The following is a 15,851-nucleotide window of genomic DNA, read 5'->3' as shown; positions in this document are numbered from 1 at the left end:
ACATGTAAGGATGACTTCCGGTGGTGAAATCACAGTTCGGATAGTCTGAGGAGAAGGGGGAATGCCTAGAAATCCATGTACAGAACAGCCCCACTCTGTTGCTATGGCCTCCTCTTGTCCAGAAAAGTTCCCACTGGCCCTGGGGCAGCATCAAGTTGGAGCTACTGCATCAGGACTTAAGTCACAAAGAGCAAAGTGACCCCACAGGGTCAGGGTCGTAAGCAGAGGTCTATGCGAGTCAGGAGGCCTGGGTCAGAGGGAGAGGGCAGGGCCGAGAGCGGGGAGTTACTGGAGGAAGGGGAGAGGTGACGTGGAAACGTCTCCTTCATATCTTGTTCCTCAATTCCCATCTTGGTCTCCAGTACTGTAAGAATTATTCAATTCCGCACTAACAGTTGTATTCTTCTACCTTTCCATTCTGTAATCAGTGAGTTCGGAGCTCCTGTTTAGTCGGGCAAATTCCAGAGAGAACTTTTGCGGCTGGGATTCAGCCAGAAGGCGAGCCGTAAGCCGTGATTACTCATCATGTATAGTTTCAAGGATTTTTGTCACAGTGTCAGGATGGCCGAGTGGTCTAAGGCGCCAGACTCAAGCTTACTGCTTCCTGTGTTCGGGTCTTCTGGTCTCCGTATGGAGGCGTGGGTTCGAATCCCACTTCTGACACAGCCTGATCTTTTGTTTTTCCCTACCAGATTTGTACCGAAAGTTTCGCCAAGGAATGCCACAATAGTTCAGCCGTTTCTACCTCCAAGATTTCCCTCCCCAACCGATGTTCGCCAAACAGGGTCTCGCAAAGAGAGAGGCATCTCTCTTACATCAAACCAATCGACAAAGGAAAACCCCACATTTACAGAATCCTGGGATATTTTCAGTGCCATTTGGACGCAGTCCCGCAGCACTGTTGGAGATCATTTTCTCCTGCGAGAAAGTAAGCAGCGGATTTCCATCTATTGGTCTGTGAATCCGCTAACATAAAAATTAAACAAACAAAAAAAGAAAAGAAAAGAAAAAAGGCACGAGAAAAAGGTCTCCGTTCTCAGAGAGCCCTGTAGGAATGTTCCAGATTCCTGTATATCGTCTGTCTCTCTGAAAGGGGAGTCGGACATTGATCTGACCAGCAACTGTCGTAAACTCACACCGCTCTAGCAACGACGGTAACACCCAGTTCTTTTCCTTAGCCGTTCAACTGATCAGTCAACTGATCAGTGACTAAAATCTTCACTGCTTTTCTGCACACGTAAAATAATCTGTTACAAACTTCTACCAAAAGATTTCCTAGGTTACCTCTAAAACCTAAGAGGAAAGAACCCTCAAGATTATGACACTGCTGAAAACAAGTTTGGGTCATCAATAACAAAAGAAATAATCATCCTGTTAAAAAGAAACTAAGTTTAAAGCTTCTTCTGAGATTGCTTCTCAGAATTATCTGATTTGGATATCCTTTCTGTCTCTTGTTTTTGAAGATAAAAATTGCATTATATGAAGTATACATAGATTGAAATCTTGGGCTGAAAATCAGGGTCTTAGGTTTTTTTTGCAATATTAACATTACCTGGGTTATCCTCCTGTATAACTTTTAAATTATTACCCAGCAATTCCACTTCTAGGAATCCACCTCAGTGAAATTCCAGCTCAGCTCCATGATTGACCTTGCCAAGTACAGTCCTTCTAGCATTTTGAGGTAGCAGATTGTTAGAGGCAACCTAGATGTCCATCAGGTATACTGCCTATGGTTTTCATACTATGCAGCAGCCACAAGTGACCAAGCAGGTGTACATGTAGCAGGATGAGTGGATTTTTCAAACCGTGTTGAGTAAAAGAAAAGAAGTTAGGATTTATTTTTTTTTTTTTTTTTGAGATGGAGTCTTGCTCCCTTGCCCAGGCTGGAGTCCCATGGCGCAATCTCGGCTCACTGCAACCTCCACCTCACGAGTTCACGCCATTCTCCTGCCTCAGCCTCCGGAGTAGCTGGGACTACAAGCACCCACCATCACGCCCGGCTAATTTTTTGTATTTTTAGTAGAGACAGGTTTCACCGTGTTAGCCAGGATGGTCTTGATCTCCTGACCTCGTGATCCGCCCGCCTTGGCCTCCCAAAGTGCTGGGATTACAGGCGTGAGCCACCACGCCCGGCCAGAAGTTAGGATTTAAATCACGCAAATCAACAACGTATTTTTCAAGGATAGTTTATTATAATTTTGTCCGGGCGCGGTGGCTCACGACTGTAATCCCAGCACTTTGGGAGGCCGAGGTGGGAGAATCACTTGAGGTCTGGAGTTCGAGACCAGCCTGGCCAATATAGCGAAACCCCATCTCTACCAAAAACACAAAAATTAGCTGGGCGTGGTGGGACGCGCCTGTAATCCCAACTACTTGAAGGCTGAGGCAGGAGAATCGCTTGAACCTGGGAGGCAGAAGTTGCAGTGAGCCAAGATGGCGCCACTGCGCTCCAGCATAGGAGACAGAGTAAAACTCCATCTCAAACAATAATAATAATAATAATAATAGGCCGGGCGCGGTGGCTCACGCCTGTAGTCCCGCCCCTTTGGGAGGCCTAGACGGGCGGATCACTTGAGGTCAGGAGTTCGAGACCAGCCTGGCCAACGTGGTGAAACCCTGTCTCTTCTAAAAATACAAAAAAAATCAGCCAGGCATGGTAGCGCGCGCCTGTAGTCCCAGCTACTCGGGAGGCTGAGGCACAAGAATCGCTTGAACCCAAGAGGTGGAGGCTGCAACGAGCCGAGATCGCGCCACTGCACTCCAGCCTGGGTGACAGAGTCAGACTCTGTCTCAAAAATAATAATTTTAAATATTTTAGAGAGGGTGCCTGTATGTTGGGAGAGAGGAAAGGGCTGTATGGTGGGCATGACAAAGAAAAACAACATAACAGTAAAGGAAAAAGAGAGAGAGAAAGAGAAAGATTTCATTGACCGATAACAAAAATGAGCCATGGATAGTTTGATTAATTTACCTCTCCAAACCTGACGCCTCTTCTTCCTTTCTTACCCGCCTCCATGATTAATTCCACTTTTTCACTCTTCTCACCTCTGCACATTCACAAGCACCTACCACCCTTTCTTGCTCCAGGAACCTCTTAAAATGATAAAATTATTAATTATTTTTCTCCATTCTCCACCTTCATCTTTTCCAACCATTCTTTTGAATTGGGGCAGTTCATTTTTCTGTTACTGATTTTATTTCTGCTTCAAAGTATTCACAGTGTATTTTGGGCTAGGTGGGGGAACCGGAAAAGTAAAAATAAAAATATTGCATGACTTTTGTTTCTCTCTACAAAGCACCTGCTTAGGACGCTGAATACTGAGCTTTGAGGGTCCCTCTAGCCAGGAAACTGTTACGGAGCCAGATGGTAACTTAGGAAGCACTGTTCTGAGTATTTGCCACTTTCCCTATTGTTTCATTTCTGAATTAACCCGAAAGATAGCAACATAAGGTATTTTGATGATGCTATGTTTAGCATCATTTAGAATAGCACCGGGCAAAATAATAAATACCGTTGTGAAAACCAGGAGCGTACGCCACCCATCCGAGGTCTTTTCCTCCTTTGTCGGAGTCAGCGTCTGCTGACTACGAGTTACATAATGAAACTTAAGGAGTAACAGTGCGTGTCAGGATGGCCGAGTGGTCTAAGGCGCCAGACTCAAGTTGCTACTTCCCAGGTTTGGGGCTTCTGGTCTCCGCATGGAGGCGTGGGTTCGAATCCCACTTCTGACACAGCTATTTTGCCCCTTTAATCCTAGGATTGGGGGACTGGGTGCCGTGGTTTACACCTGTAATCTCAGCACTTTGGGAGGCCAAGACAGGTGGATCACCTGAGGTCAGGAGTTCGAGACCAGCCTGGCCAACATGGCGAAACCCCATTTCTACTAAAAATACAAGAATTAGCTGGGAGTAGTTGTGGGTGCTCGTAATCCCAGTTACTTGAGAGGCTGAGGCAGGAGAATCGCTTAAACCCGGGAGGCGGAGGTTGCAGTGAGCCGAGATCATGCCATTGCACTCCAGCCCAGGCGACCAAGCAAGACTCCCTCTCAAAAAGCCAAGAGGAAAAAAAAAAAAAAAAAAAAAAGCAAAAAACCACTAGGATTAGGGGACTAAGCGGGGAGGATTGTTTGAGCCCAGGAGTTCCACCCCGTCTATAGAAAAAATGAGCGGTGCTTGGTGGCGCGCGCCTGTAGTCCCAGCTACCTGGGTAGGAGAATGGCTTGATCACTTGAGCCCAGGAGCGCGAAGCTTCAGTGAGCTGTATGATCGCGCAACTGCACTCCAGCCAGGGCGACAGCGCGAGATCGTGTCTAAAACAAACAAAAACAGGAGAAAAGGGCTTGAGATGTAGATTTTACCAAAACCATTTTGCAACTACCACCTTTCAGGAGCTTTCCCCAATGCTTCCGACCACATTTTAACTTAACAAGCCCGTGAGTGGGACTTACGTATTCCCTGTATAATTATTTTCAGCATCTTAATGGTTTCTGCGAGGGTATGCGATAGGCTGGAGTATTATTGCACAATCGTCTGGTTTCCTTCCTCAAGGTCAAACCACCACCACCACTTCCCCCCACCCCCTCCCGCCTTTCTTCTTTCCATGTTTCCCCGTTCTTCCTCTCCCTCGCTTATCTAGACCCCCTTTGATTCTTTCTTTGGTGATGGGAGAAGGGATGTGAAGTGAAGGGACAGGATGTAGGTTATTACGGGACGCATGTAAGAGAAATATAAGACCATGATGGATGAACAGAGAGATCTTCGTCTTGATTTAAAACTCTACCGAGTAATATATATATATATATATATATATATATTTTTTTTTTTTTTTTTTTTTTTTTTTTTTTTTTTTACAAATCCCTCGTTTTGTTAAGGTGGGAGACATACATCCAATATTTACTTTCCATTCTGTTCCGTAGTAATGTTTTCAATTACTGCCCCAAATTAGCAGCTTTCAGAAACTTCATTTCCTACAGAAATGAAACAACGAACATACACGCAGAAGACAATCCAAACATACTCGAATGTACTGGCAAACAGCTATTGCAAGATCCTATTTTATGTACCCAACGATCAGGGGTGAATTGTTTTTTGTTGCTGTTGTTTTTGTTTTTGGTCTTCAAATGGAGAACTTCAAATGTTACCGGGAAGTGCAAAGTCCTCCGTTCTTGTTTTTTGGTTAAAAGAATTTAAGCAAGAGACAAACAACAACGAAGATAACACCTTAAGGCAGTTTATTGCAAAAACGAAAGTACACTGAAAGCTGAGTCAGAGCAGGCTTCTTGAAGATGAGACAGCGCCAGCTGGCACTGGGGCAATCCCCTTTTTGGGATTCTTTTTTAATTTTATTTTTATTTTATTTATTTATTTATTTGGAGTGCAGTGGTGCAATCTCGGCTCACTGTAACCTCCGCCTGCCAGGCTCAAGCAATTCTCCTGCCTCAGCCTCCGGAATAGCTGGGACTACTGGAAAGCGCCACCACACACGGCTAATTTTTGTATTTGTAATAGAGACGGGGTTTCACCATCTTGGCCAGGCTAGTCTCCAATTCCTGGCCTTGTGATCCGCCCGCCTCGGCCTCCCAAAGTGCTGGGATTACAGGCGTGAGCCACCGCACCCGGCCGGGAGTCTTATATGTTTATTCAAAAAGTGGCAGGCAGGAGGAGGTGTGACTAGTAAGCATGTTTTGGGTGATCCTCTGGGTGCACATGCGCTGTGGCTATACATGCTAGTACATCCATTGCATGTCTCATTAACATCTTAAATCTCCACCCAAGGGTATGTTTTTTACTATTATAATGAGCAAAAGGTTACTTTTGGGGCAAGCAAAACTGGAGCAAACTATACTCCTCTTGCCTTCTTGGGGTGGAAAGTCCCTTGTGGTGTTAGTTCCTGCTTGAGCCAGATAAGTTCAACTGCAAGAAGGGTCCAAGGGCTCTTGAAGTCTCAAATGCGGCTGATGTGTTACAACAGTCATGGCCCCCTTCCTGGGTGTGCCAGAGATGGAGGCCAGCCTGGAGCCCACCTCCCTGTTCATATTTAACTGTTGTTTATTATTATTATTTTGAGACAGTGTCGCTCTGTCGTTCAGGCTGTAGGGTAGTGGTGCGATCTCGGCTCACTGCAACCTCCGCCTCCAGGGTTCAAGTGATTCTCTTGTCTCAGCCTCTCGAGTAGCTGAGATTACAGGGTGCCACCACCACGCCCAGCTAAAACCCGACGGGGATTCACCACCTTGAGCAGCCTGGTCTCCAGTGATCCCGTCGCGTCTGGATCCAAAATGCTGGGATTACAGGCGTGAGCCGCCGCGCCCGGCCAAACACAGCATTGTTTTAAAGGCAATGTGCAATAGTAGCAAACATAAGCCTCTTGAATCAGATATATGTGTTTAAATTCCAGCTCCATCACTTCCGAAAGTAAAATGTGTGGTGTTTTATATTATTTAGATCATTTGTGAAACTTTTCTTCATCTGCAAATGTAGGGAAAATTCTTCAAAATTCTTTGGGTATTGGCCGGGCGCGGTGGCTCACGCCTGTAATCCCAGCACTTTGGGGGGCTGAGGCTGGCGAATCACCTGAGGTCAAGAGTTCGAGACCAGCCTAGTTAACATGGTGAAACCCTGTCTCTACAAAATTACGAAAATTAGCCAAGTGTGGTGGCGTGCGCCTGTAATTCCAGCTAGTCTACTCGGGAGGCTGAGGCAGGAGAATCACAGGAACCCGGGAGGCAGAGGCTACAGTGAGCCGAGATCGCGCCATTGCACTCCAGCCTGGGCCACAGGGCAAGACTACGTCTCAAAAAAAAAAAAAAAAAACTTAAAAAATCTTTTGGGGATTAAAAAGAATTTGAGCAGTTACTCAAGAGACCATTCAGCTTCATATTTCTATTTACTGCCTCGGGCATTTTTACCGATTTGCAACAACTCAAATTCTCTGCTCCATCGCCATTTCTGGACCAAGGTGTCCTACCTTCCAAACACTTCAGAAAATGTGCTCGGAGTACCTTTTTCTCTGACAATTAAAATCTTTCAAACTTATACCTCACACCCCATCATGTGCTCGTCATCCAGCATTTGACTTCCCTGTCAGGACTTCTTTCGTCCTCTTTTGAGCTCCCAAAATGTACTGGTGTTGTCAGTCACATGAAAAGCCGAAAACCTGACTTTCATACAAATATAACATGAATGTAGTGTTTAAGATTTCATATATCTCACTAATTACTAAGTCAACTGAGAAAACCCCTTCAAAGATGAATTTGAAGAACAAACAACACACAATAGAAAGGCTGAAAATTGTATCTCAACTGAGTAAAATCTTAGGGTTAATGTAAACATGAATCACTTGCGTTATTATCACTTTTCTATAACTTAACTTCTACCATCACAGAGCTTAGCCTAGTGAATAGAAAGTCAAAGATGCATAGCTCTAAAAAAATCAGACACTTGCTAGAGGGTCTGCCAGACAATGCCAAGCACGTCACTGAAAGGAAGGACCCAGTAATTTCTGTTGTCGATTTTTAAGTCTGACAATTCTTTCTGACACATATGACATGTTATAAAAGTTGCTTTGAAGTAAACATGGGAGATTGTTAAAGGAGATGGAGTCTTGTTGTTTGTTTGTTTGTTTCTTTGGAGGTTATTTAGTTCTGACCTTGGTCTTCAGTTTGCCAATTTATACAACTAGGTGTGTAGATATTTAATTTTAATATTTGACGTCGGGCGGAACATTTAAAAATCTTTTATGCTTTCCTTGGTTTACATTCTTTCTAATGGACTCTTTATATTTCCAACATGAATAAAAATGAATGTATTATTTTACTTTTGTTCTAAATCTTTCTTCTATATCTCCCTACTTGATTATTTTTATTTAAAATGTCAGCTGTATTATGTAGTGTAAAGGGACTCCAAAATCCACAAAGTCCAAATAAGGTATTTCTTAGGCTCAATACAATGTGCCAGTCAGTTGAGATGGTCAAAATCTAGCAGACCAGAGATATTCTCAAGGTTATTAAAGAGCCCAGAATTTGATTCAAGTAACTAACTCCATATTAATCTTTTCGGGGAAATTTTTGAAGCTTTCACTTGTAAAGATGTCTTTTAGGGTAGACAGCAGTAGCAATATATTTTCTACAAACTCTATCAATGCACTTGAAAGAAGTCATTTTAAGAGCTCCTGAAGAGACCCTTTATACCATAAAAAAGGCAGTTTGTGATGGCAGCTGTCTGTGCAAAAGTCACATAATTGTCTTGTAAGCTAGGGGTCAATGGAATAAAAACTCTGATGCCCACCGGCAACCAAATCCTATGAAATCAGTTTGTCTGGGGGGAGGGGGGTAGAAGCCTACAAAAATTAGTACAGTTAGCCCTCCATGTCTGTGGGTTTTACATCTGTTGATTAAACCATTGTGGATCAAAAAAATATTTTTTAAAAAAAAGGATGATTGCGTCTATACTGAACATTACAGATTCTTATATTCTTGTCATTATTCCCTAATCAATACAATATAACAATTATTCACATAGCATGGACATTGTATTTTAGGTATTATAAGTAATCTAGAGATAATTTAATGTATACAGGAGGATGTGCATAGGTCATAAGTGTAGGGAAAAGAGAGATCAGACTGTTACTGTGTCTAACTAGAAAAGGAAGACATAAGAAACTCCATTTTGACCTGTACCCTGAACAATTGCTTTGCCCTGAGATGCTTTGCCCCAACCTTGAGCTCACAAAAACATGTGTTATATGGAATCAAGGTTTAAGGGATCTAAAGCTGTGCAGGACGTGCCTTGTTAACAAAATGTTTACAAGCAGTATGCTTGGTAAAAGTCATCACCATTCTCTAGTCTCGATAAACCAGGGGCACAATGCACTGCGGAAAGCCACAGGGACCTCTGCCCTGGAAAGCCGGGTATTGTGCAAGGTTTCTCCCCATGTGATAGTTTGAAATATGGCTTCATGTGATGAGAAAGATCTGACCGTCCCCCAGCCCGACACCCGTAAAGGGTCTGTGCTGAGGTGGATTAGTAAAAGAGGAAAGCCTCTTGCAGTTGAGATAGAGGAAGTCCACTGTCTCCTGCCTGCCTCTGGGAACTGAATGTCTCGGTATAAAACCCGATTATACATTTGTTCAATTCTGAGACGGGAGAAAAATCGCCCTATGGCGGGAGGTGACACATGTTGGCAGCAGTGCTGCCTTGTTATTCTTTACTCCACTGAGATGTTTGGGTGGAGAGAAACATAAATCTGGCTTTCGTGCACATCCAGGCATAGTAAACTCCCCTTGAACTTAATTATGACATAGATTCTTTTGCTCACATGTTTTCTTGCTGATCTTCTCCTTATTATCACCCTGCTCAACTACCTCATTCATTTTGCTGAGATAATGAAAATAATAATCAATAAAAACTGAGGGAGCTCAGAGACCGGTACCAGTGCAGGTCCTCCGTATGCTGAGTGCCGGTCTCCTGGGCCCGCTGTTGTTTCTCTATACTTTGTCTCTGTGTCTTATTTCTTTTCTCAGTCTCTCGTCCCGCCTGTTGAGATATACCCACAGGTGTGGAGGGGCAGGCCACCCCTTCAATAAGCAAATACTACCTCCTTTTACATAAGGAACTTGAGTTTGCATGGATTTTGGTATCCGTAGGAGATCCTAAACCAATCTCCTACTGATACCAAGGTACGACTCTATTTTTAAAGATCCTGAAGTGTGATTCTAATGTGCAAAGTTTGAGAACCACTGTTCTAGGCTATTTCCGTATCATTGGTTACCCTATTTTTTTAAAAAAAATGTGGAATGCTTCGCAAATTTGCATGTCATCCTGCACAGGGGCCATGCTAACCTTCTCTGTATAGTTCCAATTTGTGTATATGTGCTGCCGAAGTGAACACAATTCTAACTGCTGCTTGTATACATATAGTTTTTCATTTTATATATAAACAATCAAAGCCAATTTTTATAGTGTAAAGAAAATCCCTTATCATATAGTATAAATCATATTTAACACTACCCTCTAACAACGATTAAAGTAACTGTGTTTCTCCTTCACATCAAGAATGCCAAAATGGGACAGGTGCAGTGGTTCACGCCTGTAATCCCAACACTTTGGGAGGCCTAGAAGGGCGGATCACCTGAGGTCAGGAGTTTGAGACCAGCCTGGCCAACAAGGTGAAACCCCATCTCTACCAAAAATATAAAAAAAAAATTAGCCGCGCTTGGTGGCTGGTGCCTGTGATCCCAGCTACTCAGGAGGCTGAGGCAGGAGAATCGCATGAACCAGGGAGACGAAGGTTGCAGTGAGCTGAGATCACGCCATTGCACTCCAGCCTGGGTGACAGAGCCAGACTCTGTCTCAAAATAAAAATAAAAAGAAAAGAAAAAAAAAGGAATACCAAAATGTACAGCGAAGATAGTGTTTTAAATCTCGCCCAGGCGTGGTGGCTCACGCCTGCAATCCCAGCATTTTGAGAAGCCGAGGCAGGCAGATCACCTGAGGTCAGGAGTTCGAGACCAGCCTGGCCAATATGGTGAAACCCCATCTCAATCAAAACTGCAAAAATTAGCTAGGCGTGGTCATGGGAGCCTGTAATCCCAGCTACTCAGGAAGCTGAGGCAGGAGAATCGCTTGAACCTTGGAGGAGGAGGTTGAAGTGAGCCGAGATTGTGCCACTGCACTCCAGCCTGGGCAACAAGAGCAAAACTCTGTCTCAAAAACAAACAAACAAACAAAAACAAAAAATACTTATAAAAATATGAATATTTTCATTGGCATCTTTCTTAGCTCAAATTTATTAAATTATGTGTTATTTATATATAAAAAGCAAAACACATGGTGTTGGTGTTAAGGAAAACATTATTCATGGCAATTGTTAAAGACAGTAAGGAAAACTTTATTAGAGAGGGATTTTGCAGTAGGTGAGAGAGACCGGGCTCAACTTTGCATACAACAAGGAAAAGCGGGAATTTATAGCCAAGGATCAGAGTGGGGAGATGAGGTCACTGGATAGAAAATTACTGAAAGGAAACATCACAGGTAAGGGGGTTTCTGGCTAACCTGGCCTGATAGGATTCTTGAAGGCAGGCCAGGGTGATTACATCACTGGAGCATGGTGGAGGATGAGGAACCTGATCAGATATGAAGGGTGATCAGATAATAGAGGATGAGGGATTCTGGCTAAACTGACTTAACACGATTATTGTTAAAAGTGCGCAATGCAGAGCTACAAACATTTAAGTCCAAAAGTCAGAGCTTTTGTTGAGAAGAGCCTTCAGAGGAACCTGACTAGAGTTTGGTCATGAAGAGAATCTTTGTCACTGTTCAAAAAATGTCTGATAAGTAATTAAATTATTAGAGATTAGTTGATATATTATCTAAATGTGTTAGTAATTTAAATGGTTTGGCATCTTTTCTGACTTGAATTTTATAATATTTAGATAATGTAAAAATAGAAACTTATAGCAGTATTAAGCATTGGGGTTTCAAAATGAAGCCTCCAAATTCTTCCCTTGAGGACTCCAAGCTCCATCTTTAAGAATCCAGGGTCTGATGTTTCTTTCTTTTTTCTTTTTCTTTTTTTTTTTTTTTGAGACAGAGTCTTGCTCTGTCGCTCAGGCTGGAGTGCAGCGGCGTGACTTGGCTCACTGCAAACTCCGCCTCCTGGTTTCAAGCAATTCTCCTGCCTCAGCCTCCCTAGTAGCTGAGATTACAGCCATGCGCAATCTCAGCCATGCCTGGCTAACTTTTTTGTATTTTTAGTAGAGACGGGGATTCACCGTATTGGTCAGGCTGGTCTCGAACTCCTGACCTCGCGATCCATCCGCCTCGTTCTCCCAAAGTGCTGGGATTACAGACGTGAGCCACCGCGCCCGGCCCCCAGGGTCTGATTTTTCAAGTATGAGAACAAGATAGTAAAGAAGCCTGAGGGGAGCCCAGCAAAGAGAACCAAACACCACTGAAATTTGGGGAGCAGAACCAGCTATATATTTTGCAGGGCCCAGTGAAAAATTAAAATGAGGGAGCCCTTGTTCAAAAAGCAGGAAGACAATGCTGTTATAATTATGAATATATACTGATATGGGTGTGAGCTGCAGGCTCACTCCCACCAAGACACCCTCCTAACTCACCTGGGCTCTGCCAGTCTGCCAGCCAGTGTCGGGAATGACAGCCATTATGCCACACCCCAGAAATCCCGGGATTAGGCTGCAGGAACTTAATCCCTCTTCTGTAGACCCCCTAGGGGGCTTTACTGCTGGAGGCAGGTGGGGAAGAGGGGTCGGGAAAGAGAGTGGGGAAGGATGTCAGTTAGCAGGGCAAATTCGTTGCTGAAAACCCATCCAGGGGAAGCAGAGCTCTTGGGAGTCAACTCTTCGGCAGAACTCTTGGGAGCCAACAGACCCCCATGCCTAAGCATGCTACATTGTCATGTTGGCTATAGCTTACAAAACATAAGTTTAAGGATAAAACTATTGAGAACTTCAAGAGAGTCATTACAAAACATTAAACCCCAAGAGTAGGACTGGGTGTGTGTGTGTAGGGGTGCTCGGGGGATGGTGGTAAATTGTGCGACTGCATAGATCTCAGGCCCATGAAGCTCACCCCATTGGGGAGCTTAAATTATACACAGAATCTTTAAAACAGCTTTGCGCAATTCCTTGGCTGGAAGAACCAAGACTGACAAAAACGGGTCCACAGACGCACCTAGAAAGCGATCTGAGCCTCAGTTTTCCGACCCAGTGTCCAAAGGCCAAGTGGACAACACACACACGCTCTCCTTGTAGTTAGGAATACCCATTATGATCTTTGTGAAAGAAGTTTCATTGTGGTGGGGACACGGAAAACTGAATCTTCTTTGAGTAGGCATGTCGTCTCCACGTCTGCCTCAATTCCGCGAGCAACGATTTTCAGAAGTACATGCATTTCCTTCTCTTCCGTTCGCTGCATCTTCAGTTTCTCCTTAGTCCCTCCAACCTGGCCGAGGACAGGGCCACAGGACCACACAGTGCCCTTGTCTTACCAGGGACACGGAGGAGTCAAGGTGTTCCAAATGCAGACAGTGAGTGCACTATGGAAGGCGTGGGAAGCAAGCAAGCAAGCAAACAAACAAGCAAACAAACAAACGAACAAGCCCTGAATTCTAAATCCAACCCTAGAAGTCGGTGTATGAGAGCCTAACGGTTTGAAAATCAAGTTCCTGAGAAAGGATTTCAATCGGTTTTCTTAAGTTGCAAAGGAGCAAACAACAAGTTGTAGGTGACTATGTTGAGAAGGAAACGTGAGACAACTCGAGGATGAAAGACAGAGACTAGAGAAGATAAATGGATAAGGAAGAAAAAAATATTGACGCAGCTGGACAGCGGTGTTAGGAGATGTTTAAGTTACTTGGAGATAAGGCACAACAGCTGAAGGGGACAGCAGAGTGGCGCAGCGGAAGCGTGCTGGGCCCATAACCCAGAGGTCGATGGATCGAAACCATCCTCTGCTAGGTGCCTGTTTTTTTCCTCCAAAACACTGCATCTTGCACTTGTTAGAGGTGCTTTAACACCTCTCATGAATGACTGAAGACCTACAGTGACCGAGGGAGTAAACTCTGTTTTAACTGCCTGGTGCTTTCTGAAACCTAGTGGTTCACTTTCAAAGAACGGAAGCATAAGCGGAGAAATGAGTGAATCTGCAAATGGGAGGTCTGAAAAATAAGGCGGTAGAGGAGCAGAGACCGGTGTGAAGAAGGGAAAGACTGAGGAAGAGGTGAAGAAAAAGAGAGCGAAAGATGAAGACTAGGTTGGGCGACCGGGAAAAAGATATTATAAAATTTTGACGTGTGTTTTGAAGAAGGTAATTCCCCAGACAGAAGCGGGTGTCACTTGTGTGTTGCTCTGGCATTACGATTCCAGGAAACTTCATCTCTTAAAGAGCTAGGAAAACACCGGAGGAAACAACGGGAATTGAACTGCTTCCCTTGTGACATAACAATCTTTCTTTACCCAAATGTTTGATACTTCTGAAGTTTCTTCCCACTTATCGAAGTCATTGTTGAAATGCGTACCTTCTGCCTCCAACCTTCTGGTAAGCTGATGAAGAAGCCTGGGCGTCCGCTCTAAAGCCGCCTTTACCAGCCAGCTACGATCTCTAAGGGCTGCTGTTCGCAATAATGAGCTGCGGGATTATTCACTACCGAAGGGGTCCCACTCTATTCTGAGCCCGATTTTCTTCGTCATTTCCCCTGTAATAAATACTACACAATAATTTTATATTTAACGAATAAACAGTTTGAGGTTGAAATGAATGTTCAATATAATAAAGCTCGGCTGCAGTGCTGAGGCACAGGTATATGACCAGAACGCTTGGAAGAACCTAATAATTACTGAAATCATGAGCCTTATTAGCACTTCTTAGTGAGTTAGAGCCCAGTGTAGAGAGCCTGGATAGCTCAGTCGGTAGAGCATCAGACTTTTAATCTGAGGGTCCAGGGTTCAAGTCCCTGTTCAGGCGAACTTCAGAAGTTTTACTTCAGTTAGGTCTAAACCCATCCCATTTGGGAACATTTTGTGAGGAGAAGGAAATATCACAAAGGCCGAAACAGACAAATGCATCGCTTTCTTCACTAAATTATGCTTTCCCAATATTATTTGAAACGTATCCCCAAGATTTCAAGAGAAGAGGAAAAGGACATGATATAAAAATAATAAACTGGTGATGGAATGACTGGGAAATGGACCATTTTAAAACTCCCTTGAAATGGCTCATTAATCCAGGCATGGGGGAGCACTTTGGGCAGTCTTGATTAAAATCCAAAATCTTTAAGAGCAGTGACCTTTGCATAGCCTGTCTCTGTGGTTCCTTGGAGTTTAGACCAGCTCTTCTTTCACAGAAAATTTGACCACTTTGCAACAGTTCCCAGTTGAAAAACTCATTTCCAAACACTTTTTGAAATAGTATTTTCTGTGTTTACATTATTTCTGTCATTATCCTGGGATTTGGATTATGGTTAATGACCCTGATCATGGGCTTCTAGTGCATGGCTTCTGTGGGCAGCACGCTAAACAACGCCACTATGAAACAAAGGTACCAAGAGTTCAACGTTGTTGATAGTTTTTTTTGTCATGTCCCTTTTGTCTTGAGCCTGACAATATTCAGTCCAAACACTGCATTTGGATCCATTTTGTAAGGTCTCGCCCTTTCTTTTTCAGTTATGTGATTCATTTGAAGTAATCAGGTCCATTTTGACTCTTTCCCCTGACCTTGTTTATTTTTTTATTTTATTTTATTTTTTTGAGACGGAGTTTCACTCTTGTTGCCCAGGCTAGAGTGCAATGGCGTGATCTTGGCTCCCTGCAACATCCACCTCCCAGGTTCAAGTGGTTCTCCTGTCTCAGCCTCCCAAGTAGCTGGGATTACAGGAGCGCCACCATGCCAGGCTAATTTTTGTATTTTTAATAGAGACGGGGTTTCACCATGGTGACCATGCTAATTTTGAACTTCTGACCTCAGGAGATCCGCTCGCCTAGGCCTCCCAAATTGCTGGGATTACAGGCATGAGCCACTGTGTTCAGCCTATTTTATTTTTTGTACATACTTAAAACATAACATCATTTTAAAAGTTAAACTGTGCAAAAGAGACATACTCGAAGAAATATCACTTCCCTTCATTGCTTCTTTTTCTTTCCTTCTCCAGCTTTTTCAACTCATTCTCATCTACCCCCTATAGGTAATCCATTTTACCAGTTTCTTTTTTATCCTTCCTGCACCTCCTTTTGAATAAGCAGGCAGACACATACTTATTTATTTATTTATTTGTTTGTTTATTTATTTTTAGACCAGGCTGGGGTGCAATGGCGCGATCTCAGCTCCTGCAA

General features: G+C 43.6%; 4 non-coding genes and 1 pseudogene across 4 annotated transcripts, besides 7 other annotated features; 4 read left to right on the top strand and 1 right to left on the bottom strand.

Moving 5' to 3' along the window:
- The first annotated feature begins 555 nt into the window (after positions 1-555).
- On the top strand, positions 556-663 carry TRL-CAA2-1 (tRNA-Leu (anticodon CAA) 2-1). The gene is made up of 2 exons: positions 556-593; positions 618-663. It is a non-coding gene; the product is annotated as a tRNA-Leu (tRNA).
- Positions 664-3,625: 2,962 nt separating this feature from the next.
- TRL-CAA3-1 (tRNA-Leu (anticodon CAA) 3-1) lies at positions 3,626-3,732 on the top strand. The gene is made up of 2 exons: positions 3,626-3,663; positions 3,687-3,732. It is a non-coding gene; the product is annotated as a tRNA-Leu (tRNA).
- Positions 4,206-4,706: an enhancer, noted in NCBI's record as "NANOG-H3K4me1 hESC enhancer chr6:27569374-27569874 (GRCh37/hg19 assembly coordinates)". NCBI's record gives its function as "activates a minimal SCP1, AML or CMV promoter by ChIP-STARR-seq in naive H9 embryonic stem cells {active_cell/tissue: H9 hESC(naive)}" and the evidence as "EXISTENCE:reporter gene assay evidence [ECO:0000049][PMID:30033119]".
- Positions 5,610-5,782: a transcriptional cis regulatory region, noted in NCBI's record as "candidate enhancer chr6.1269 targeted for multiplex CRISPR interference". NCBI's record gives its function as "positively regulates expression of the H2BC11 gene with high confidence and the H2BC12 gene with lower confidence in K562 cells {active_cell/tissue: K562}" and the evidence as "EXISTENCE:mutant phenotype evidence [ECO:0000015][PMID:30612741]".
- RNU6-471P (RNA, U6 small nuclear 471, pseudogene) lies at positions 9,784-9,889 on the bottom strand (annotated as a pseudogene).
- Positions 11,657-11,951: a silencer, noted in NCBI's record as "tiled region #11926; K562 Repressive DNase matched - State 3:PromF". NCBI's record gives its function as "represses a minimal TATA promoter and a strong SV40 promoter by Sharpr-MPRA in K562 cells {active_cell/tissue: K562}" and the evidence as "EXISTENCE:reporter gene assay evidence [ECO:0000049][PMID:27701403]".
- Positions 13,355-13,444: a silencer, noted in NCBI's record as "silent region_17032". NCBI's record gives its function as "represses an Ori minimal core promoter by ATAC-STARR-seq in GM12878 lymphoblastoid cells {active_cell/tissue: GM12878}" and the evidence as "EXISTENCE:reporter gene assay evidence [ECO:0000049][PMID:35858748]".
- Positions 13,355-13,711: a biological region, named in NCBI's record as "Sharpr-MPRA regulatory region 6095".
- TRX-CAT1-6 (tRNA-iMet (anticodon CAT) 1-6) lies at positions 13,409-13,480 on the top strand. Its single transcript has one exon. It is a non-coding gene; the product is annotated as a tRNA-Met (tRNA).
- Positions 13,417-13,711: a silencer, noted in NCBI's record as "tiled region #6095; HepG2 Repressive DNase unmatched - State 4:PromP". NCBI's record gives its function as "represses a minimal TATA promoter and a strong SV40 promoter by Sharpr-MPRA in HepG2 cells {active_cell/tissue: HepG2}" and the evidence as "EXISTENCE:reporter gene assay evidence [ECO:0000049][PMID:27701403]".
- Positions 13,685-13,894: an enhancer, noted in NCBI's record as "active region_24295". NCBI's record gives its function as "activates an Ori minimal core promoter by ATAC-STARR-seq in GM12878 lymphoblastoid cells {active_cell/tissue: GM12878}" and the evidence as "EXISTENCE:reporter gene assay evidence [ECO:0000049][PMID:35858748]".
- On the top strand, positions 14,415-14,487 carry TRK-TTT4-1 (tRNA-Lys (anticodon TTT) 4-1). The gene has a single exon. It is a non-coding gene; the product is annotated as a tRNA-Lys (tRNA).
- Positions 14,488-15,851: the final 1,364 nt, after the last annotated feature.

Source organism: Homo sapiens, chromosome 6 (assembly GCF_000001405.40).
Source record: "Homo sapiens chromosome 6, GRCh38.p14 Primary Assembly".
In the NCBI taxonomy this organism is placed as follows: Eukaryota; Metazoa; Chordata; class Mammalia; order Primates; family Hominidae; genus Homo; species Homo sapiens.
The sequence above is the reverse complement of the archived record's forward strand: the minus strand, read 5'-3'. Positions and strand labels throughout refer to the sequence as shown.